Source organism: Homo sapiens, chromosome 15, assembly GCF_000001405.40.
Source record: "Homo sapiens chromosome 15, GRCh38.p14 Primary Assembly".
NCBI classification, from domain to species: domain Eukaryota; kingdom Metazoa; phylum Chordata; class Mammalia; order Primates; family Hominidae; genus Homo; species Homo sapiens.
Genome location: NC_000015.10, coordinates 51,618,298 through 51,641,661, shown reverse-complemented (window position 1 = coordinate 51,641,661; position 23,364 = coordinate 51,618,298). Strand labels below are relative to the sequence as shown.

Below are 23,364 nucleotides of genomic sequence, written 5' to 3'. Positions count from 1 at the left end.
AAGGAAGCTTGTTTACTTAAACACGACTAACTAGAATCAAGGGATATGCCTTGACATTTATGAGGTAAATTTAGGAGAAATAAAGGAAACACAGGATAAAATAAAAATAAAGTAAAAGTGGGCAAAACCAAAATAATCCTAAACTGAAGCCAAAAACAAAGTCTTTCCCTCCCAGCAGCTCTGGATCCAATATTGGAGATGGACCCTTATTTAAGAAAACTGGAATTAGGCATTCTCATCATAAAATATATAAGTGGAATTTTGTTATTATAAAAAAGATATGTAGTATTTGCCAGAGAGGGCTCAGTGAGAGGGGTATTTTTTCTACTTCTACTGATTTTACTAGAAGATAGGACATGGATTTATATATATCTATATTTATTTATTTTCTTTCTTTCTTTCTTATTTATTTATTTATTTTTTTTAGATGAAGTCTTGCTCTGTTGCCCAGGGTGGAGTGCAGTGACGTGATCTCGGCTCACTGCAAGCTCCGCCTCCTGGGTTCACGTCATTGTCCTGCCTCAGCCTCCTGAGTAGCTGGGACTACAGGCACCCGCCACCTCACCTGGCTAATTTTATGTATTTTTAGTACAGACAGGGTTTCACCGTGTTAGCCAGGATGGTCTCGATCTCCTGACCTTGTGATCCGCCTGCCTCGGCCTCCCAAAGTCCTGGGATTACAGACTTGAGCCACCGTGCCTGGCCTAGTTTGTTTTCTTTTTACTTTTTTTTTGTTTTTGAGATGGAGTTTCGCTCTGTCGCCCAGGCTGGAGTGCAGTGGCGCAGTCTTGGCTCACTGCAACCTCCGCCTCCCAGGTTCAAGCAATTCTCCTGCCTCAGCCTCCCGAGTAGCTGGGATTACAGGCACTCACCACCACGCCTGGCTAATTTTTTTGTATTTTTAGTAGAGACAGGGTTTCACCATGTTGGTCAGGCTGGTCTCTATCTCCTGACCTCATGATCCACCCGCCTTGGCCTCCCAAAGTGCTGGGATTACAGTCATGAGCCACTGCGCCCAGCCCCTTTTTTTTTTAGACAGGGTCTTGCTCTGTCGCCCAAGCTGTAGTGCACTGGCACCACCTCGGCTCACTGCAACCTCTGCCTCCCGGGTTCAAGTGATTCTCTCGTGCCTCAGCCTCTCCAGTAGTTGGGATTACAGGCATATGCCACCACACCCAGCTAATTTTTGTATTTTTAGTAGAGATTGGGTTTCACCACATTGGCTAGGCTGGTCTTGAACTCCCAGCCTCAAGTGATCCATTGCCTTGGTCTCCCAAAATGTTGGAATTACAGGCATGAGTCACTGCACCTGGCTGGATTATAGCTTTATTATAAACTTCTATTGAATTCTCCAAATATATAAGGCAAAAGAAAGGTGCTATTTTTTGAGCAGTTGGTTCACAGTATATGTTAAATAATTGGTCTTTTGATTATTTCCACCAGCACTCTCCCTAGGCATCATAGTGTCTCCACTATGCTAGGTAAAATTTAATAATAATAATAACTTTTATTATTAAATTTGACCTGAAACACTTGTGTAGCATTTATTCTGTGCTAGGCAGTGTCCTAACTGCTTTATACGTGTTAATTTATTTAATTCTTATAACAGTCAATGAGGTAAGTGGTATTATCACTCCCATTTTACAGATTAGAAAGCTGGATATGGCATGGTTAATTTGCCCAACATCACATAATTAGCAAGTGATAGATCTAGGATTTGAACTTAGCATGTTTCTCGAGTCTTTGTGCTAGATTGCCTCCCACTTAGGATTTTGTTCATTTGAAATACCAAAGGAATCCGACACCAGACTACAAAATCAGAATCTCTGGGAGTAGGAGTCCACCATCTTGAATTTTTTTTTTTTTTTTTTTTTTTTTGAGATGGAGTCTCCCTCTGTCTCCAGGCTGGAGTACAGTGGCGCGATCTCGCCTCACTGCAACTTTCGCCTCCAGGGTTCAAGCAATACTCCTGCCTCAGCCTCCCGAATGGCTGGGACTACAGGTGCTCACCACCACACCCAGCTAATTTTTGTATTTTTAGTAGAGACGGGGTTTCACCATGTTGGCCAGGATGGTCTCAATCTCCTGACCTCCTGATCCGCCCACTTTGGCCTCCCAAAATGCTGGGATTACAGGCTTGAGCCACCGCGCCCAGCCCACCATCTTGAATTTCAACAGGCTTTCCAGGTGGTATTTGGGAACCAAAACCCTAGGTTCCTCTTCCTTTGTCTTGCCACTCTTAGTCAAGCAATCACCATGACATAGTGGTTGTTGTCTGTGCATCTGCATCAACTCTTTAGAACAGGTGTCAACAGCTTATTGAAAATCTCAGAAATAATACTGAAACATTCGCAGAAATTCTGCAACACTAATGCTTTTGATGGCACAGAGAATGATGTGTGGAAAAACCTGACATTGACAATTCTGAGTTGAAAAGTAATTCAGTAGAGTTGAAGTCTGAGTGAGAGAGAGTTTTGGGAAGTTTTGACCAATTTATTTTGCTTATATATATATTTTTTGGTGTAGGCTCAAGAGAGCTCAATATGATAAAAAAAATCAAGAGATCTTTTGATAAGTTTGAAATAAATATCCCAAGTAATAAGAAAGCAATGTGTCACAGTTTAATTGGCTGTTTTTGTTCCTTTTCTTGTTTTGTTTTATATAACATAATGGTTTGTCTTAGAATCAGTGACATCTTAGATTAGACAAAATACAAGAGATGAGGCCAGGCGCGGTGGCTCACGTCTGTAATCCAAGCATTTTGGGAGGTCGAGGTGGGTGGATTACCTGAGGTCAGGAGTTCGAGACCAGCCTGGCCAACATGGTGAAATCCTATCTCTACTAAAAATACAAAAAATTAGCTGGGCATGGTGGTGGGTGCCTGTAATTCCAGCTACTCGGGAGGCTGATGCAGGAGAATCACTTGAACCAGGGAGGCGGAGGTTGCATTGAGCCCAGATCACGCCACTGCACGCCAGCCTGGGCAACAGAGCAAGACTCCGTCTCAAAAAAAAAAAAAAGAAAGAAAAGAAAAATACAAGACATATTATCTTAGTCTTTAAGAATTACCCTTTGGGGCTGGGTGTGGTGGTTCATACCTGTAATCCTACCACTTTGGGAGGTCGAGGTGGGAGGATTGCTTGAAGCCAAGAGTTCAAGACCAACCTGGTAAACATAGTGAGACTCCATATCTTAAAAAAGAAAAAAGTATCCTTTGGTTCCTGATACATGAATGTGATATCAAAATTCCTTCTCAGTAAACCTGGATTCTTATTTAGAAAGAAACCAGAACAGTGAATTAAAAGGTGAAAAAAAATCTTGTGAACCCAAAGGACTAGATGGTAGAGTCTAGAATGCTCCTTCCAACCTGGGCAGCAAAGTGAAAACCTATCTCTACACAAAATAAAAAAAAATTAGCTGGTCATGGTGGTTCGCACTTGTAGTTTCAGCCACTCAGGAGGCTGAGGTTGGAGGATCGCTTGAGCCTGGGAAGTAGAGGCTACAGTGAGCTGTGATCACACCACTGCACTCCAACCTGGTGAGAACCTGTCAGAAATAAAAAGAAAAAAGAAAAAAAGAATGCTCTCCCATCTCCACACCTTTCTTTCACATTATTTCAACCTGGTCGAGATGTTTGAGGTGGGCGTGTGGTGGGGGAAGTCAAGGACAGAATAATAACTGGCTGATCTGAAAGGTTTTGCACTAAAGGTGTAAATAATTTATCATAAAGATGGTGTAATTATCCCAGAGTGTTTAGCTTGTCATGCTGGCTCCTCTTAGGGTTCAAGCAGAAGCCTATTATATTGTTATCATATAATGAGATAATCTCAAAATAACATTACTTTGCTCCTATATGTACAATTAATTTGTAAGCCACTGCCAATTTATTAACCAAACTCTAAGAGAAAGCTATTAAAAAACAAGACAAAACAAAAGCAAGGGTTCTAAAGCTAGCCCGTAATCAATTATTACACAGGGTGATTCAAAATATTTTTTTAAAAAGTGAAAAATTATGGCTGCTCTGCCTATGGAGTAGCCATTCTTTATTCCTTTACATTTTTTTTTTTTTTTTTGAGACAGAATCTTGCTCTGTCGCCCAGGCTGGAGTGCAGTGGTGTGATCTTGGCTCACCGCAACCTCTGCTTCCCGGGTTCACGCCATTCTCCTGCCTCAGCCCCCCTTGAGTAGCTGGGACTACAGGTGCCCGCCACCACGCCCGGCTAATTTTTTGTATTTTTAGTAGAGACGGGGTTTCACCGTGTTAGCCAGGATGGTCTCGATCTCCTGACCTTGTGATCCGCCCGCCTCGGCCTCCCAAAGTGCTGGGATTACAGGCTTGCGTCACTGCGCCTGGCCTATTCCTTTACTTTTTAAGTAAACTTGCTTTCACTTTACTTTATAGGTTTGCCACAAATTCTTTCTTGTGTGAGATCCAAGAACCCACTCTTTGGATGTGGATCCAGACCCCTTTCCGGTAACATCTTCCTGGTGAACCATGAAGGGATGATACTGAGGAGGCCATGACCCGAAGGAAATAGACCGCAACACTAATTGGCTGACTTTGGGTAAGTGGTGGGGTACTCAGGTAAAGGATGGGATTGGGTTAGAGGCCCAACTTAGGGGAGTTAGAGTCCCTCCTAAGACAGACAGGGTTAAAGGCCCCTCTTAATAAAAGGCAAGAATGCTTGACCAAACTTGGGTTTGAAGCCCAACTTAGGAAGGTTAGAGTCCTTCCTAAGATTTATGGGGTTAGAGGCCCCTCTCAGTAGAGTCCCTCTTGGTTAAAAATGGGTTTGGCACTGTGGGATGTTAACTGCTATTCTCTTTGAATTAATCTGCCTTGTGCTGTTTGCTGAAGGTTGTAGGTGACAGGGTTAGGTATGTACAGGATCGTGGGAAATAGGGAGCTTTTTTTTTCTCCCCCAAAGGGGAAAATAGAGAGCTGATGGGACTGCTGGAAAAAAAATCCCTTCACTACCGACAAGCAGCTGCCTGAACTTTTGATTCAGTGTTGCTGCAATGGGTGGGTCTCTCTCTGGCCTCTCTGAGCTCCTCACCTTCCCTACACTGCCACAGAAAATGGTTTTCTCCTTTTCTCTCCTTTCCCTTTCCTATCTTTCCTGTTACACAGGGCGACCATCTTGCCCAGAGATCACATTTTGAAACTTCTGGTCGAAGTTGGATTAAAGATGACAGGGCTCATCCGGGGGCAAGCTTGACCCTTGCCAGTTCAATATTGGATGCTAAGAGGAGTGGCTAATGTCTGTTTTGTCACACTTATTTTACCCTGGCTAGAGCAAAATGGAATAGAAAATGTTAATTCAGGTTCCCCATGCGGCTGGTTGGGTGACATCTTACAATATCGAGAGGGTTTTGCCTATGATTCCATGAAACGAAAAAGATGATTTTCCTTTGAGTTGCAGCTTGGCCCCCAGGGCTTTCATGAGGTGAGCAAGGTCATTAGGGCTGCTCAGGGAAAGAAAACCCAGAAACCTGGCATGCTTGCCAAAGGGTAAGGAGTTCTTACCAGTCAGACTTCTCGTCTTTCTCCCTGTGCAAACTGGTTGAGTGAATGGTAAAAATCAATGTTTATCTTCTCTGCAAAGTTTTGATTAATGGAAAAAAGGATGTGTGAGGCCAATCTTAAGATATAGTGAATCTGGTGTACTTTGTGCTATAAATTTGTCTTTCTGCATTGTTCTGTCATAAAGAAGAGTACTTTAGGATAGAATATCGGCTTAGGACCCCCGTAAGCCTGCTGTTCAAGACACTCCAGGAAACTGGTCAGTTACAAACTTTGCTGCAGGTCTCTGAAACAAAAAAAATTAGATGAAGTTTCCCTCTCATCATGTTTTATGTCCTTGGGAGCTTGACCTTGTAACCATGTGCTGTTACTTTCTCTTGGTCTCTGCTATCCAGGGAACAGGAATTTTGGGGTTCATGTTATACTTAGCCCTAAAAATTATCTTGAGCAGTTAAAAGCCTGTGCAAGCTCAAAATTGGCTGCTCTAGGCTCCTTCTGGGAAGGGCAATGGAAACTGCCCAATGCTATAGCTTAGTTGCAATTTAGATTAACCCTGCTTATTCCTGTGAACCAATCAGTGATCTCTGACTATAGTTCAGAAGAAACAGGAGGGATGGGTAGTGTAAAAATCTGGTTCAGTATTCTAATTCTGGACATTTATTGGAATCAGCTAGCAACCCAGTATCAGCTTGGTTCCAACAGTTGCCAGTTCATGGAAAGCCTTCTAATTTAGTTTATTTGGGATAATTTTATTTATTTTGCTTTATGTTGTGGAATATATTGCTGTTGTACTCTTTGTGTAGGAATGCAGGATAAGCTTACTGAATGTTTCCTTAAATTGAACACTTATTAATCTTCCAGAAACTCAAGATTTATGAATGGCCCTTGCCATACCAACACTTTCTGACTGAGCTCCTCTTTGCCCTGGATGCAAAAGACCCTAATAGTTAGGCAGGAATATCATTGCCCCTATTCAGCCTGATCCATCTCTTACAGAAGATAGATCTTCATCCCTTTATAACCCTTAGGATTAAGGGTTCCCTTGTAAAAGAAAGGGGGGAAATATGTAGAGGCGTTTGATCCAGAGCAACTCCATCTTGAATAGAGGCTGGGTAAATTGGCTGCATGTGTAGGAAGTTAGGGTTTCTGAGTTACAGGATGAGATAGGAGGTTAGCACAAGATGCGAGTCATAAAGACCTTGCTGATAAAACAGGTTGTGGTTAAGAAGCTGGCCAAAACACACCAAAACCAATATGGTGATGACAGTGACCTCTGGTTGTCCTCACTGCTCATTATATGCTAATTATAATGCATTAGCATGCTAAAAGACACTCCCACCAGTGCCATGACAGTTTACAAATGCCATGGCAGCATCAGAAAGTTACTTCATGTGGTCTAAAAAGGGGAAGAGCCCTCAGTTCTGGGAATTGCTCACCCCTTTCCTGGAAAACTCGTGAATAATTCACCCCTTGTTTAGCATATAATCCAGAATTAACAATAAGTATAAGCAGCTGAGAAGCCCATGCAGCTCCTCTGTCTATGGAGTAGCCATTCTTTACTCCCTTACTTTCTTAATAAACTTGCTTTGACTTAAAAAAAATTATTAGAGGCTGATAAGGCAGAAAAAGCATCTTACTGGGGGTGTGAAGTGAAGAGAATCTGAAACCTGGCTTGATTTTGTAGCGTGAGAATAGGCAGAGAGTGTCCTATAGGAATCACTGGTCACAGATCAATAGCCAAAACTCTAATAATTATTTTAGTTCCATAAAAGCAAATATGACTTTTTTTCTTTAACTCTGAAAGAGTTTTAGGGAATTACGGTTTTCTTAAGTTAGACTTCTTTCTGTAAGTAGCCAGTGTTTTTTAAAAACTATCCAACTTTTGGCCAGGCGCCGTGGCTCACACCTGTAGTCTTAGCATTATGGGTGGTTGAGGTGGAAGGATCGCTTGAGCCCAGGAGTTTGAGACCAACAACATAGGGAGACCCTGTCTCTACAAAACATTTAAAAATTATCCAGGTGTAGGCCGGGCATGGTGTCTCACGCCTGTAATCCCAGCATTTTGGCAGGCCGAGGCGGGAGGAGCACCTGAGGTTGGGAGTTCAAGACCAGCCTGACAAATGTGGAGAAACCCTGTCTCTACTAAAAATACAAAACTAGCTGGGCATGGTGGCACATGCCTCTAATCCCAGCTATTCGGGAGGCTTAGGCAGGAGAATCGCTTGAAGCTGGGAGGCGGAGGTTGCGGTGAGCCGAGATTGCACCATTGCACTCCAGCCTGGGCAGCAAGAGCGAGACTCCATCTCAAAAAAAAAATAAAATAAAATAAAATAAAAATCATCCAGGTGTAATGGCAGGTGTCTGTAGTCCCAGCTACTCAGGACACTGAGGTGAGAGGATCACTCAAGTCCTGGAGGTTGTGGTTGCAGTGAGCTGTGATGGAGCCACTATATTACAGTCTGGGTGACAGAGCAAGACCTTGTCTCAAAAACAAACAAACAAAAAACTATCCAACTTTTGTTAGAAAAAATGGTTAGAAAAATTATAATTCATAAGAAGTCTAAACAAAAGTTAAGTGTGGTCTGCTAGCTTTGGACTTGGTACTCATCATGACTCCAACTCAAATAAATGAGAAAGTCACTCATCCAACTGGACATAAAGGAATATAGGGGTGCAGAGGCACACTCATACTGCAGTAGATGAAGAGATAGGAAGAAAAGCCACCATGTGAGAAGCAGTACAGGGAGCAGGCTTGGGTGGAAGGAGCGAATTCAGGTAAATGAATACTAATTGATCAAAGCATCAGTCTGGATGCCTATAGAAATCACAACGTAACGTGCTGTTCAGTCGCTGTAAGGTGATTAGCTTTCTCTGAGCGTACCGTGTAACTTGTTGCCTCTATTTTCGCATATGCTTTTCATACCTCTTTGCCTGGTGAATGCTTCAGGAACTGGGCAACTTAGGACTGATCAAGAAAAAGGAAGGGCAACAAAAGAGTTTAATAAAAAGGATGCAGCAGGCATTTCATGGACTTCAGAAAAGAAAAGGCAGTTGGGCCACTGAGAATGTGCAGTTGGAAAGCCAGGATCAGAGTCTGTAATTCCATTGCTGCGGCCTCTGATCTCCATTTCCTGCTGTGCTCTACCTTGTGTCCTGCTTCTCTCTGCAGCACAGCCTTTTCTGCTCATTTAGGGTTCCTCAGCTCCACACTTTGGCCTGTCCTTGTGCTCCCTTCAATCCCACCTTTGCAAGTTCTTTAAAGTCCTACATCCGCTATTGTTCAAGTGAGGATCTCTGTGTCCCAAATTCACATTCCGAGCTCAGAAAATCTGGATGGTGCAGCCCAGCCTATAAATTAGTTTTCACTTGAATAGATGTAGAGCCCCAATTCAATCAGCTGATCCAGGACTTTGTGGAGATCAGATGGGACAAACATAGTCAGTTAGGATCCCCCTTTTAGCAGAGATGATAGATGGAGGAAATTTCAAAGGGGGCATGATTTGGATTGGCATCTCAAAACGTGTCCACTATATTTGGCATAATTATTACACTGTACTCTTAATACCATTGTTACATTGTATGGGATTGTATCATTTTTGTATTTTTCCTACTTCATTAGACTTTCAGTTCTTAGAGGGTTCTTCACCAAAGGTACATCTGACAATTTATTTTGCCTATTCCCATGAATTTCTTGACAATTCATAGCTTAGATTTCTGTCTACAGAGTCTTGCATTGTACGACTTCCGTGTGCTTCTGTTTCCTCATCTATAAAAAGGGGTTCATAAAACTGCCTATGTTATTAGGTAGTCATAAGCATTAAAGATAATGTGCTCCATAAATATTACCTATCATATTATCTTTTTTTCTTTATAGCCTCTTTCCTCACGTGCCAAAATGTTTGTGTGTGCTTGAACTGAATTTTCTGTAGGGAAGTCATGAATGAGTTTTTGCATTAGGAATATGTGTATCGATTCCCTAAAAATAATCCTAATCGTGCTCTCTTACAATTCCATTTTGTACTTGCCACAGATTTATCTTAAGGTATAGCTCTTTCATATCGTATATAAATTATTTGTTTATGTGCTTTAATATGTACTAAATAAGTCCCTGAAGTCAGGGAAAGAAGTTTTTCTGCCTTTGCCTCATCTTTGTATCCCTAGAGTATTTGTTGCTGCCTGGAATGAAGACGCTCTCAGTATTTAATTTAACCAATCTCTGAAGATATACTTTTGAGCTCATACTCTAGCAAACAGACTCTGTAGACAGAGATCTAAGCTATGAATTGTCAAGAAAAATTATTCAAGACTTGGAAATAGGCAAAATAAATTGTCAAGTATACCTTCAGTGAAGAGCTGGGCATTGCCTAGGAGAATTTTAAGGATTGTCTGATATTATTTGATTGATTTGCTATTAACTAGGCTATTTAAAAACATTGAGAATAAAAGCTAAATTTTTGGAAAACTGATAGCAATATAACTAACTCATTTTCATAAGCAATGCAAATGAACTGTCAGGTAGAAGATATAAATCTCCATAAGTCAAATTCTTATTTGAACTATTTTAACATCTTACTGGTTTCTTAATCAAGGAATGAGTTGAACAAAATCTTTGGCATAATTTCATTTTATATTTGCATGGGAGTTGTGCTGCTAACTCACTGAAAAAGTATATTGTGATATAAGTAATAAGATAAATCTCATAGTGAAGACACAAAGATTTAGGGGAACAGAGGGTGGGATAAATTTATTTAACATCATTGGGAGGAAAGGTTTTACCTAGGTGATTTTAAAGCTGGGCTTTGAAGACAATGTTGAATTGGGGTGGAGCCGTGTTTGAAGAGGGGAAGGGAGAAAGACCTCTAGGCAAAAGAAACTGTTAATACGGTGGGGTTCATGGACTCTGTTTACCAGAAAGACTACTGGCTCCTTACCAACTGCTTTTCAAAGGTGGTGAGATTTTGAGGTTGTAGGCCTACTGACACTGTTGTAGAGCTATGGAAGTCATCATCCACTCCAAGATCAAAGGCCCAGCAGGCCCATAGACTTGTTTAGGAACCCTCTGCAATGCCTGTCTTTTAAACAAATTTAAACATGTCTTTTGCATTTGCATTTGAAATTTTACATATAAGTGTGGACAAATTATTGTGTTTTAAAAATAATGAAATATACTCCATAAAACTTTATATCTTCATTTAAAATTTAATTTTGCAACTGATATGGAATACATAATGTTAATCTGAGCATGATTTCCTAGTTTCTTAAACTTCTTCATAGACTTAAAGAAAGGCCATCTTTTGTTTAAAAATTTAAAATCATTGTTTTCCCAATATAAAAGCAACTCATATATATTCAGTGCAGAAAAATTGGAAACAAATGTGGAAAAAAATTGAAATTAAACTTGTTTATAATTCTATCAACTAGACATGAGTGCTGTTAACATACTTTCTAGAACTTTTTCTTTGTACACACATGGAGTTTCTGTTAATTAACAAAAAATGACTGTTTCTTTTTATTGAGGTAAAATTCATATAACATAAAATTAACCATTTGGAAGTGAACAATTCAGGGGCACTTAATACATTCACAGTGTTGTGCAACCATTAACTCTATCTAGTTCCAAGACATTTTTATCACTACACAAGGAGACCCTGTACCCCTATTCATTTCTTCCCCTGGGCCCTGGCAATGCCAATGTGCTTTCTAAGATCTCTATGGATTTACCTATTCTGGAAATTTTCATATAAATGTGTAGCCAGTGGGGCCTTTGTGTCTGGCTTCCTTTATTGAGCATAATGTTTTCAAGGTCATCCACATTATGGCATATGTCAGTACTTCATTCCTCATGGCTGAATAATATTCTATTGTATGTAGATAGCACAATTTATCCATTCATATGTTGGTGGTCAGCTTTCTCTTTTTACAATCTTCTTTTTGAAAAATGCAATAAAAACCTTAATCTATCCTGAACATTTTTCATAATCTTTCTTCATATGTAAAAGGGTTAATGGTCACAGGAATATGCCTATACAAATATGCTTGCAGTATATAGAACTAGATTAAAAGGAGAGTCAATTGATAACGTCAGATTTTTTTGGTTAACACCTGATGCATGTGGGCACACCCACATGCAGGGAAATACAAACCACCACCACCACCACACAACAACAAAAAACAAACACTGGACCCAGACCCTCTGGCACATGCTTGTTTCTGCTGCCCCCAGATACAATTTTTTTCCTGCAGGCAGGGATGCCATCTCTTCACCATGAGGAAGTGCTGATTCCTCTCCCCTCTCACTTCCCTTTAGGAGTGTGACCATCCTGGCCCACCCCTAAGAGTACTGTGCAATACTTGGTGATTTCAACACCACAATGCCTGATTGTTGACTGATTTTTCTCTCAGCAACCAGAACAACATAAGTTCATTTTTCTCTCTAAGTCTAGCACCGAATGAACTTGTTTCTCTCTCTCTTTAAAATTGTATTTTGCTTAAGTACCATGCCAGCAAAATTAATTCATTTCTTCAGATGCACAAAATGGTCTGTTGACTACCCAGCAGGCCATGCCTGATTTAGTAACTAACTTCAACTTTTGTTCAGTCCTTATCCTTTATCTCAACACTACTGGCTTTCTATCCCACAACTACCATCTGCCCTCCCGACAGGATGTAGTATTTTGTTTTCTGAGGCCTTGGAAAGGTATGTAAGTTCTAAAATATTTGTGACATTTTCACAAAATTTACATAATGTACCCTGATACAGTTAATAACTACTTGGCTTAGTTAACATTTCTTGAGTTCCTACTGTGTTCCAGGTACTTTGCCAGGCTTTAGCAATTAAACACACACACACACACACACACACACACACGCACGCACGCACACACACACAGCTAAGAGTATGAGTTAGAATTAGCAACATCTCTAACAGAGACACAAAACACAGTGGCTTAAATAATATAGAAGTTTATTTCTCTCTAATGTAAAAATCCAGATGGAGAAGACCAAGGCTGGTGAGAAGGCTCCACAGTTGCCTGGAATTCAGTGACAAGTGACAAGCTTCCAGTTGTTGTTTTTTTTTCTCTTTCTTTTCTTTTCTTCTTTCTTTTCTTTTCTTTTTTTTTTTTTTTTTTTTTTTTTTTTACAGCATCTCATTCTATTGCCCAGGCTGGATGTAGTGCAGTGGTGCAATATGGGCTCACTGCAACCTCCACCTCTGGGGTTCCAACAAAACTCCCACCTTGGTCTCCAGAGTAGCTGGGACTACAGGCATGCACCACCATGCCCAGCTAATTTTTGTATTTTTGTAGAGACAGGGTTTCGCCTTGTTGCCCAGGCTGGTCTGGAACTCCTGAGCTCAAATGATCCACCCACCTCAGCTTCCCAAAGTGCTGGGATTACAGGTGTGATCAACCGAACCCGGCAGCTTCCAGTTTTCTACTCCACCATCCCTAGGGTTGAACCCTCATCCTCATGCTCCAAAATGGAGCTTCAGTGATCTCATCTATGTTCTAGGGAAACAGGATGGAGGAAGGAAGGAAGAAGGCATAAAAGGTATGATAGCTACCTTTTAAGGAAAATTTCCAGAAACTACTGTACTTCTGCTTTGATCAACATCTAATTGATCACAACTTAGCCATATAACCAAGTGGCAACAAGGTAGGCTGGGAAATGTATTCTTTATTCCAGGCATCTATTTCCCAGCTAAAAACTGAGGGTCCTGATGAGGAGAAAACAGATAATAGGTAAGGCAATCAGAAATTGTCAACATCAAGACACAGTCCCTGCCCTCTAGGCAGAAAAGGTAAGAGAATACTGTGAGTATATAACAAAGGAATCTAATTCACACTGTGCAAAGTTTTCCAGAAATGGGGGTGCCTGAACTGAATTTTTAGGGAAGAGTAGGAGTGAAAGAGTGAAATAGGCAAAGAGTATGGATTTTTTTTTTTTTTTGACAGAGTTTTCACTCTTGTTGCCCAGGCTGGAGTGCAGTGGTGCGATCTCAGCTCACTGCAACCTCCACCTCCCAAGTTCAAGCAAAGTCTCCTAAGTAGCTGGGACTACAGGCGCATGCCACCACACCTGACTATTTTTTTTTTTTTGTATTTTTAGTAGAGACGGGGTTTCATCATGTTGGCCAGGGTGGTCTCGAACTCCTGACCCCAGGTGATCTGCCCACCTTGGCCTCCCAAAGTGCTGGGATTACAGGCATGAGCCACCACGCCCGACCAAATGGTGGTAATGATAATAGTGAGGGAGTTTCTGGAAAGGGAAATTAGCCAGTGGCCAGAGGCTTGAAAGGAATTACTGTATACTAGTGTGGTTGTACCCTACATTTAGAGGTCAGGAATGTTGAAAGATGAAGTTGAAAAGATAAGCAAGGGTGAATAGTTTTTGTGTCTGGTCTACTCTGTATAATCATTCATACGATAAAATGTTTAAAAAATTAGTTACCACTTAAGCTCTTGCTTAAATGAGTTTATAAAAGTGCTAATCAGTGATCATTAAGGAAATAAATTGTATACATAGAGCATATTACTTTTCACAGTACAATCATAAATAGGTACCTGCAAAAATATGAACCAATATTCTCTGTACTCCTTCTAAATGGTCAGTGTTCTGAGCCTAGCAACAAAATAATCTAACTAGATGAAAACTTATTGTATTCACCTGCTTATAAGATGCATAAAGATTCACCTTTACACCAGAGAAAGGTATGTAAAAACTGCCCCATGTCCAATGCACTTACATTAGAGATAAAAAGCCAAATGCATAATGAATGAGAAATAGCTAAGAGTCTGAGTTACAGTCACCAAAAAGACAATAATTTAATGCTACCTCTAGCAGAGAAAGAGAGCAGATACGTAAGTTTTTGTTTTTCATCCTATAAGTGGCATTCTTACCTAAAGCAAAAGCAAATATAACAAATCAGAGGCCACAGAGATGGTCAAAGCTAGAGTTTGAGGCTGTGATACAGATTTTTTTGTAAAGATGCCGATAACTTCTTCTATACCCATTTTCAATGTGACTTTTCTGTTCTTCCCATTGAAAGGTGGATTTGTTTTCCTAGTTCTTGAATCTGTGCTGGCTCTGTGACTTGTTTTGACCAAGGAATATGATAGAAGTGACTCTGCCCTTCAAGGCTAAGCATGAGACTGCCATGTACAAACGTTGGTCTAGTCTATGGAGGGCAAGATGCCACATAAAGGGGAACTGAGGCACCCCAGACAACAACTAGTATCAACTGCTAGACATGAGGCCATCTTGGACCTTCTACCACAGTTCACTGCAGTTGTATGAGTGAAACCAGCAGAACTTCCCAACCAATTCACAGAACATACGAAATAATAATAATTGTTGTTTTAAGCCACTGTGTTTCAGAGGGGTTTGTTAAAGTGATAACTGATATAGGTTCACACCTATGATATTTTAGATTAAAATGCATCATTGCTATAGTTTATGACTGAAAAGCAATACAGGTATTGTTACAACATCAATTTCAGGCTTTAACACAATAGACTGCAAAATGAACTGGTAACAGAAAGTCAGGGCTTCCATTGCTATACTACTGAAGAAACCAGAAGCTTAAAGTGTTAGACATCCTAGGAAAACTGTAAGGTCCCCACAACTGGAAGAAATATTTTTAAAAAATAGGTATTAGATCCTCAAACAAATGGAATCACTTGAGAATTTAATATTTAAATTATATAGATAGCTCAACAAGAACTAATAACAGATATATCAAAGATCAACATTACGATGCTGTAGATTTATGAGTAGAAATTCCAGTTACCTCTGTAGGTAAGAGTAATAATGACACAAGTCATGCCCCTTGACTCTTTTTTTTTGAGACAGAGTTTCACTTTCTGTTGCCCAGGCTGGAGTGCAATGGTGTGATCTCGGCTCACAGCAACCTCCACCTCCCGGATTCAAGTGATTCTCTTGCCTCAGCCTCCTGAGTAGCTGGTATTACAGGCATGCACCACCACGCCCGGCTAATTTTGTATGTTTAGTGGAGACGGGGTTTCTCCATGTTGGTCAGGCTGGTCTCAAACTCCCGACCTCAGGTGATCTGCCTGCCTCGGCCTCCCAAAGCTCTGGGATTACAGGCGTGAACCACTGCGCCTGGCTGCCCCTTGACTCTTGAAGATAAAGTCCTTGAGTTCCGTGGTGTAGTGGACAACCTCCAAAATGGCTGCTCACGACTCTCCCTTCCTGGCACTCACTTTCTTGGGAAATAGTCTCCCACACTAAGTTATAGCTGGCCTGTGCACCCAATAAAATATGGTGGAAATGATGGCGTGTGACTTCTAAGGCTAGTTTATAAAAGACATTGCAGTTTCTACCTTGGTCTCTCTCTTGGATCACTTGCTGCTGGAGCAGTCAGCCGCCGTGTCTTGAGGACACTCACACAGCACTATGGAGAGGAACACATAGGAACTGAGGCCTCCATCTATCTATTAGGCTCAACTTGCTAGCCATGAGAGCCTGCCATCTTGGAAGCAGGGCCTTTAACTTCAGTCAAGACTTCAGATGACTGTATCCCTGGCTATTTCTTTTTTAGATAGCTTTATTGAAAGTATAATTTAATTACCATACAATTCACTAATTTCAAGTATACAATTCAATGATTTCTAGTAATTTTACAGAACTGCCCAACCATGACCACAATCTAATTTTAGAATGTTTATCTCATGCCAAAAAGAAACCTCATATCCATTAGCAGTCACTCTCAGTTCCACCTTCAGCCCCAGGCAACCACTAACCTATTTTCTGTGACTGTAGATTTGTCTTTTCAGAAAATTTCATACAAATGATTTCATACAAACGAATTATGTGGTCTTTTGTGTCCAGCTTCTTTTATTTAGCATGTAGCTGACATTTTGATTGCCATCTCATGAAAGACTCTGAACCAGAACTTTCCTGCTAAGCTACTACTAAATTATTGATTCACAGAAACTGTGAGGTAATGAATCTCTACTGTTATTTTTGGCTGATAAATTTTGGGGTAATTTATTGCACAGTAATTGATAACTAGTACACATCGGTAGGTGATACTGCTGGGAAACTAAGTCCCACATTTAATGGCACACATTCAATGGGCCATTAAACCCAACCCCAAAGGTACTATTAAGAGTTGTGTTGGGATCTCAAATCAAAGCAAAAAGAAAAAAAAAAGAGTTGTGGACATGATAAATTATATCTTACAATTCGATTAGCATATTTTGTTAATGATACAAAACTGCTACTTTTTCTAATTTTTAAAAGAAAGCCCTTTCCAAAATTAGAAGAAAGAATTTCCAATTTGTTTTTAGGTCCATGAAAAAATTTGCATGAACAAGGAAGAGATGAAATTGTGGACAGTCAAAAGTGTGGTCTAGCTGCCCTGGTGGGCTACCAAGGAAACTTGCCATATTAGTCTGGAGTGAGTTTTGACTGATCAGATTGGACAATAAAAGGCTCAGCTGTAATTCCAGGAGACTTAATTAGTCATTTGCAACCTTAAGATACAGCTATCAAGAAGCCATTTAAAGGATTCATGAGGGAAGAGAACAGGTGGATACAGGCTTCAGATTTTGAGTTTGATACCGAGAGGAAGAAAGAGGCTCACAACTTCACAACTGTGTGAATGGGCCAAAACTTCATGGAATGCTGTAAAACAAGAGCCAAATGTGAAATGGTTTAAATAATGTGAATTAGTAACACTCTTGGAAACCTGAGTACAATTTGTTGTTTGATGATAGTTTTGACTTGGTTTCTAATGCAGTGAAGGTCAAAGATTAAGAGACTCATCTAGAATCTAGTAGTAACAAAAAGGAACCCTTGGATATGGCGCGGGGGAAGGGAGGAAGGGGGGGGGAGGGAAGGGGAGGGAGGGGGGAGAGAGAGAAAGAGAGAGAATGCCGCAGGTCATTAGGTATTATTTTTCATTCCTCCTGCAACTTTCTACTGAAAAGATTACCAACGACTGACAGATCTTTGCCTCCAATCTTCCCCACCCTTCCCTTTATGCTTCAAAATGCTACAAAGTCATCTTCCCAAAGCAGCTCTGATTATATAAATTTTTGCTCAGAAACATCTGATATACCCCCACTGCATGCAGAGTGAAATCTGGGCTTCTTGGAGCATTCAAGACTCTCCATAATATGTTTTGGTAGGCCAAGAGTTAGACCACTTGGATACCTTGATCTCTTGCTAAGTATTATTTACTTTCCCTACCCTATAAATCATCTGCCTCAAACATTAATCTTTGTACCTTCAACACCCCCTCTATTTTCTGTACTGTATTTGCAGCATTTCTTGTCTATCTCAGCCTGTCAAAATTAAACTCAGCGTTTATGTCAGGTTATGTCTCCATAATGCCTTATCCACGCCCTTAGTCAACATTCTTCTTCCTCTTCTGTGGTGCATAAAGACTTTTATATCTCAATCACACCACCTTTGGCGTTCTGCCTGGTTTTACAGATAGTTATGTCTTGGTGTCCCCTACTTCCTTACCCTGTGATTTAAGCATAGTATGGGTTAGAACATTTGCCATGAATTGGCCTGTGGCAGGGAGCTGATGATCCTTGTTATCAACCATTCAAAGTTTAGCAGATAGTTTGGAAAATCAGGCGATTCTGCTAATTCATGAAATTACTCATGAAAAAAAGTCGAAAGGAGTCACCCGTCTCTAAGGCGGCTTTTTGCTGTCTAGAATAACCGTGACAAAAGGTGGGAGCAAAATAATTAGCTTTCAGGGGAGTATGGCTTCTCTAAATAGTTGCAAGATGCCTACATTGTTTATGTAAAATAAAATATCTTATGTACTGCACTTTCGAAAAGACTGAAGATATCTAAGATATCTCCAGGTGGAAATTCCCGGTGACGGGTGTCCTTCTGAGGTCAACGGCACTGACCATTGCACACTGTATTCTGGAATACGTTCAACACAGCAAAACCGGCTCGTGGCGCGTCCCCGGCGTCCGACTGCTGCGTGGCCCCGAGCGACCTGCACCCCACTCGCCCCCGCCCCCACCTCCGCCCCAGTCCGCAGCGGCTACAGCCCGGGAGGCTCCAAGGGAACTCCCGCACGTCTGCGCGCGCAATCACGGGACGGCGGGTCGGCGTGGCGCGCGCAATTGCCCTGGAAACCACGGCGCGCGCACGCGCAAACGCGGGTGATGGGGGGAAGAAAGACTGAGCTGAGAGCTTTGCCGCGGGGGGAGGGCTCTACCTCGCTCCCCCGCGGTGGGCGCGCGCGCTGGCCCGCTCCCTTGCTGCACGCTCCCGGCTCGCGCGTTCCCCCCGGTGCCCTCCCCCGCCTCACAAGCACCCTTGCCCTCCCGCATTTGTGCGCCGGTGCAGCAGGCAGTGGGAACATCCGGGCATTTCCGCAGCTGAGCGGCGACCCGGGCGGCGGCGGCGGTCGAGGAGCTCCCATGGCAGGGACGAGGCGGAGGGAAGGCGAAAGGGGGGCGAGGAGTTAAGCCAGAGCCTCCGCGGGGCGGGTTTCCGAGGGAGGCACAGAGGGAAACGGCTCTCGCAGCCCGAGGAGGGTCAGGCGCGGAGCTTGTCGCACCTCCCGCGCATTCTGTCCAGCCCGGGCTCCGGAGATGCATCTGCATCAGGTCCTCACCGGAGCTGTCAACCCTGGAGACAACTGCTACTCCGTGGGCAGCGTCGGGGATGTCCCCTTCACGGTGAGCGGCGGCCGGGAGCCCTAGGGGAAGATACCAGGGGCCAGACGCGGGGGCAGGGACCTCCTGTCCAGGGCGCACGCCTCCTCAGGAGGCTGTGAGATGTTGGTGGGCCCCACCCGTGGCCCCTTTGCAGCCTTGGGGTTTAGTTCCCCCTGGGACCCGTGGGACCGTGGGTCCTGCGTCTGGTGTAGGAAATCACCCGTTAGGGGAAAGGCTTAGGAATCCACCGCACTCTCCACCCCAAGCAAACGGGCCTGAGGTGACTGGACTAGAAGGCTCCTCCTAGGGCGGCCCTTCGGTCTGCGGTGGAGGAAAGTGGTGGTGCGGCTGAAACCCCAGAGCGTCCGTTTCGCAGCTGCTCTCGGCGTGGAGGCGAAGAGACTTGGTGTTGGTCTCGGAGCGTGGAGGTGAAGAGACTTGGTGTTGGTCTCGGAGCGTGGAGGCGATGCTGCGCCTTGGCTCCCCCTGCCCGCTGTGCTAGGGCAGCGAGGAGCTGCTGGAGTCTGTGGCTTTAAGCCTGACTCTGTATCTCCTGATAATGCAGGATCTTAATTCCAACAAAAAGATAGAAAAATTCATCCTCCGCGCCCGAAAGATTTAGAATGGAAAGGTTAGAGTCACAGTGGCTTGGAGAGCTGTCTCATTTATCAGGAGGTCGTAGTTTGGTAATCCTCCTAGATAATATTTTAATCTGTAAGGTAGCCTTTTTTTTAATATAGTAAGGCAATGTGAAAAATTTACAACAGTGCTTGTTTGAGAAAAGTGTATGTATACATAACGTTTTAGAATCTCCTTAAAAGCTAGATGAAGTAGACATGTTTCTCAAGGAGATTGGACTCATCAGTCCTTTTTGAGAGTGGAAATGTTTAAACCAAGCCTTGGAGCTTCGTTTACTCATAGATAGACTCCCATAAATTGAGTTCTTTTTTAAAGAATGAAATTTATACATGGTCTTCCTTATAAGGAACTGTAGGCAGCCAGACCTTTATTAAATATATTTTGTAAACTGTTCTTCTTGATAAAACTGGAAATTCCGTAATGGTATGCTTTTTAGACAAGGAAAACCCTTTGATGTCTGCTTTCCAACAGTGTTTTTAAAACTGCGGAAAATAAAGCTTCAGCAAAACTGCAGAATCATTATGTAGCAGTGCATTCTGGAACAGAATTTATTTTTTGACGTTTTGTGATACATTAACCCCAGAAGATTGCTTTTTAGCCATTTTAATTTTTTAGTGTAATCCACTTGGCCTAGCTCCAGTTTAGAACGACCCCTTTTGTCATCTGTGTTTTATGTACATGTGACTTAAAATATTCATATAGAGCTGAGCTTTGTCTTCAAGTGTGTGGAGAATCTTGGTTTTTGGGGATAGAGAGAAGAAATTTCCCTGTTCCCCAGTAGTGCAGATAGGAAGTTCCTCAGGGTTAGAAGAGTGGGCCTCTTTCATCAAGAAACAAAGCTGGAATCTTTGGTTATATTTTCCTGCTAGAATGGTGGTGGTAGTTTTCTGCTTCCATCTAAAGTGGAGTGCTGTCTCACGGCAGGTCTGGTATGTAGAACTAAATAAACGGGTTCAGATGCAGCCTGGAAAAGCCTGTGTAAGAACTGTTAGTGCTGTGCAGGTGTGGTTATGCTGTAGGCCACTTGTGACCAGATGCTTAGAGTCATTTTCAAATCTTCTTGCACTTCCCTAATTCAGCGTTTCACGAAGTCTAGTTGACTCTGCACTGTCTACCAGATTTACTCCTTTTCATATCCTTAACCACCACCTTATTTTACAATCTTATTGGTATTAATATAAAAGCTTTCAAAACTGTCATGTCCGATAACTTCTTCATCCTCCACACCGCTGCTAGGATAATTTTCTTCAAGTGTCATTTTACTATATTACTCTTGGCTTAAGAATATGTAATTGTTTTTAATAGCTGTGTTAGGAAATGTAAACTTGTCAAGTATTCTCCATCTTTGACTTTATTTTTAATTATATGTACTCCTCACTTTGGCCCCTCTGTTACATACTGATCTTCTTACTCTAAACTGCATTTTTATGTTGCAACAAGACAGTCCTTTTGGGTTTCCAAATTCGACTCAAAATTTACGTGGTTTAGGATGCCTGCCTGTGACACTGTTATTTTGGTCTTTTGACAAATGTAAATACAAACCCATTTTGCACACCATCTCATTTAACTACCTTAGTTTTGAGCGCACTGATCCAGTTTTAATTTTGCCATGAACTAGAAATGATCTCTTGGGCTTTGTGAAAAACAGATTGAAAAACAAAACAAAACAAAACAAAAAACAAGCTGCTTTCAAGCAGTCTATATATAATCAACTAACAAATACTTAAGTTCCTATGTTTGTAAATATAGGAATAATAAATAGTAATAATAGTAAAATAAAATAAAGTAATATAATAGTAAAAATAAAAAGCAAGCTCCTCTTCATGGAGCCTGTCACTTGATTTTAGAGCAATCAGATGAAGAAACTTTAGTTCTGGATCAGATGATTAAAAGGGGGACCAGCCAGGACTTGGAATGAAGGTCTTGTGACTTCTCATTGTGTGGGCTTTTCTTGGTAGTATTTCCTTCTTAATATCAGAGTGCCTGCTCTGGAGAGGGTGTGTGGGTGCGTAGGTGGGTTAGTGGATGGATGGAAGGCCTCCCAGACATAGTGTAGAAGGAACTACTGTCTTGCAACTAACTCATGATTCTTAGCTGATGTTGTGTTTCATGGTAGCCTGAGAACCTTTTCAAAATACAATACATACTTTATTTCAGAGTCTAAAATTGATACATCTTTGAAGAACAGAATTGTTCTAAAAGGATTTTGAGTTTATGACAGTGTAATAATTGAAAGAAATGTGTGTTATATATTTTGCTGTGCATGGTGGGTGGCGTGATTGGTTGGCTGTGAATGACTACTTGATGTCGTGATGTCCCAATTTGTGCAATATTGACATGGTACTGCAGTCTGTAGTGGACAATCTCAGCTGATGTCTGTGGTTTTAGTGGTATCACGTAAGCTATGATGCTTTTCACTTGTGTTTAGGCAGTATACAGCTGTTTCCTTAAACATTCGATTGTGATTTCGTAAATGTAGCTGTAGATATCACATTTTAAAACATCACCTTTTGAACAATTTTGTTCTTTTCAGTGTAAGATCTAGGTTTTCGAAATGTTATCCTGCAATAAGTCAAATCTCTGGTAGTTCAAAGAGATGATCTTCTCCCGTGTATGAGCTTTATTATACTTTATTTTGCCTTTAAGACATTTCTTACTACCCTTCAGTGAATGTTTTGAGGGTTTATGCAACAGATATTGTAAATTTCTCATTATTTATGTTATTACTTTTCTGAAAGATAGTCCTTGGCTATTTTTTAAACTTTACTGCACATATTAAAATATTAATTGAAATAATGATCATACGTGATGATTTTTTAAATTAAAAATTCATTTGGCCTTAAGGCTTGCAGACTATTTTGAGATGTATAGGGGCAGTTACTATTATTCCAGTGTGACATGATTTCAACACATTGATCAAAGTTTACAAAAATTAGTAAGTCATTTGCACTCTTAGGGAATTTATAATATACTGGCAGAGATTAAAATGATTTATATAATTATAACATAAGGCAGATGGAAGAGATTGTAGTTGGGAAAACAAGAAGAGGTTTTATGGAAGAGTAAGGTTTGGAAAGATAAGAACAACAGAAGCAAAGGAATGGCATAATACGAAGGATAAATTATTGAGTGACTGTTTTCTTTGCAAAAGTTACTTTTTAATCACAGGACTTCTTCATTAAATAACAGACACTCTTAGAATGTTGAAAAAATATAATATGCAAACATTACCTGTAGCTTTTCAGGAAAACGTACCTGGTATTCTGACATTCAATTTTTTTTTTAAATTAAAATACCAACAAAAGGTTGGAAATAAATGGAAAACCATTCATTTAAAAATTAGAAAATAATGTTGTATAACCTCTTTTATGGCATTTAGATATGTCTTAACTCTATTGTAGAATAAAATTTCAGTCCTAGAGTTATGGTAACACCAAACCTTGAAAATGATCAACCAGTTTATACATTTAGCAAATGTTGAACACATAGGTGTGCTAAGCTTTGTGGGTATTAAAAAAAAAAAAAAAGAATTACAAGACATAG

At 41.2% G+C, this 23,364-nt stretch overlaps 1 protein-coding gene and 1 long non-coding RNA gene across 23 annotated transcripts in view, besides 2 other annotated features; both read left to right on the top strand.

Annotated features, from left to right (window-relative positions):
* Positions 1–16,978, top strand: part of LOC105370816 (uncharacterized) — a 31,023-nt gene extending 14,045 nt beyond the window's left edge. The window contains exons 3-5 of one of the 2 annotated variants that reach the window (XR_932236.3): positions 4,403–4,565; positions 16,376–16,487; positions 16,837–16,978. This is a non-coding gene — a long non-coding RNA (uncharacterized LOC105370816). Of the gene's footprint in view, positions 1–4,402; positions 4,566–16,375 lie in introns of both variants that reach the window. The other variant, XR_932234.3, reaches the window with a different exon arrangement.
* Positions 18,754–18,973: a silencer, noted in NCBI's record as "silent region_6432". NCBI's record gives its function as "represses an Ori minimal core promoter by ATAC-STARR-seq in GM12878 lymphoblastoid cells {active_cell/tissue: GM12878}" and the evidence as "EXISTENCE:reporter gene assay evidence [ECO:0000049][PMID:35858748]".
* Positions 18,891–23,364, top strand: part of DMXL2 (Dmx like 2) — a 174,981-nt gene continuing 170,507 nt past the window's right edge. For 20 of the 21 annotated variants that reach the window (NR_165648.1, NR_165649.1, XR_007064435.1 and 17 more), the window contains exon 1: positions 18,891–19,203. Coding sequence is in view for 17 of the 21 variants with exons in the window: in NM_001378460.1 (NP_001365389.1) it covers positions 19,117–19,203 (87 nt within the window). In the remaining 4 variants the exon portion in view is untranslated. Of the gene's footprint in view, positions 19,204–19,447; positions 19,611–23,364 lie in introns of those variants that run through there. The other variant, XM_047432317.1, reaches the window with a different exon arrangement.
* Positions 19,344–19,753: an enhancer, noted in NCBI's record as "active region_9404". NCBI's record gives its function as "activates an Ori minimal core promoter by ATAC-STARR-seq in GM12878 lymphoblastoid cells {active_cell/tissue: GM12878}" and the evidence as "EXISTENCE:reporter gene assay evidence [ECO:0000049][PMID:35858748]".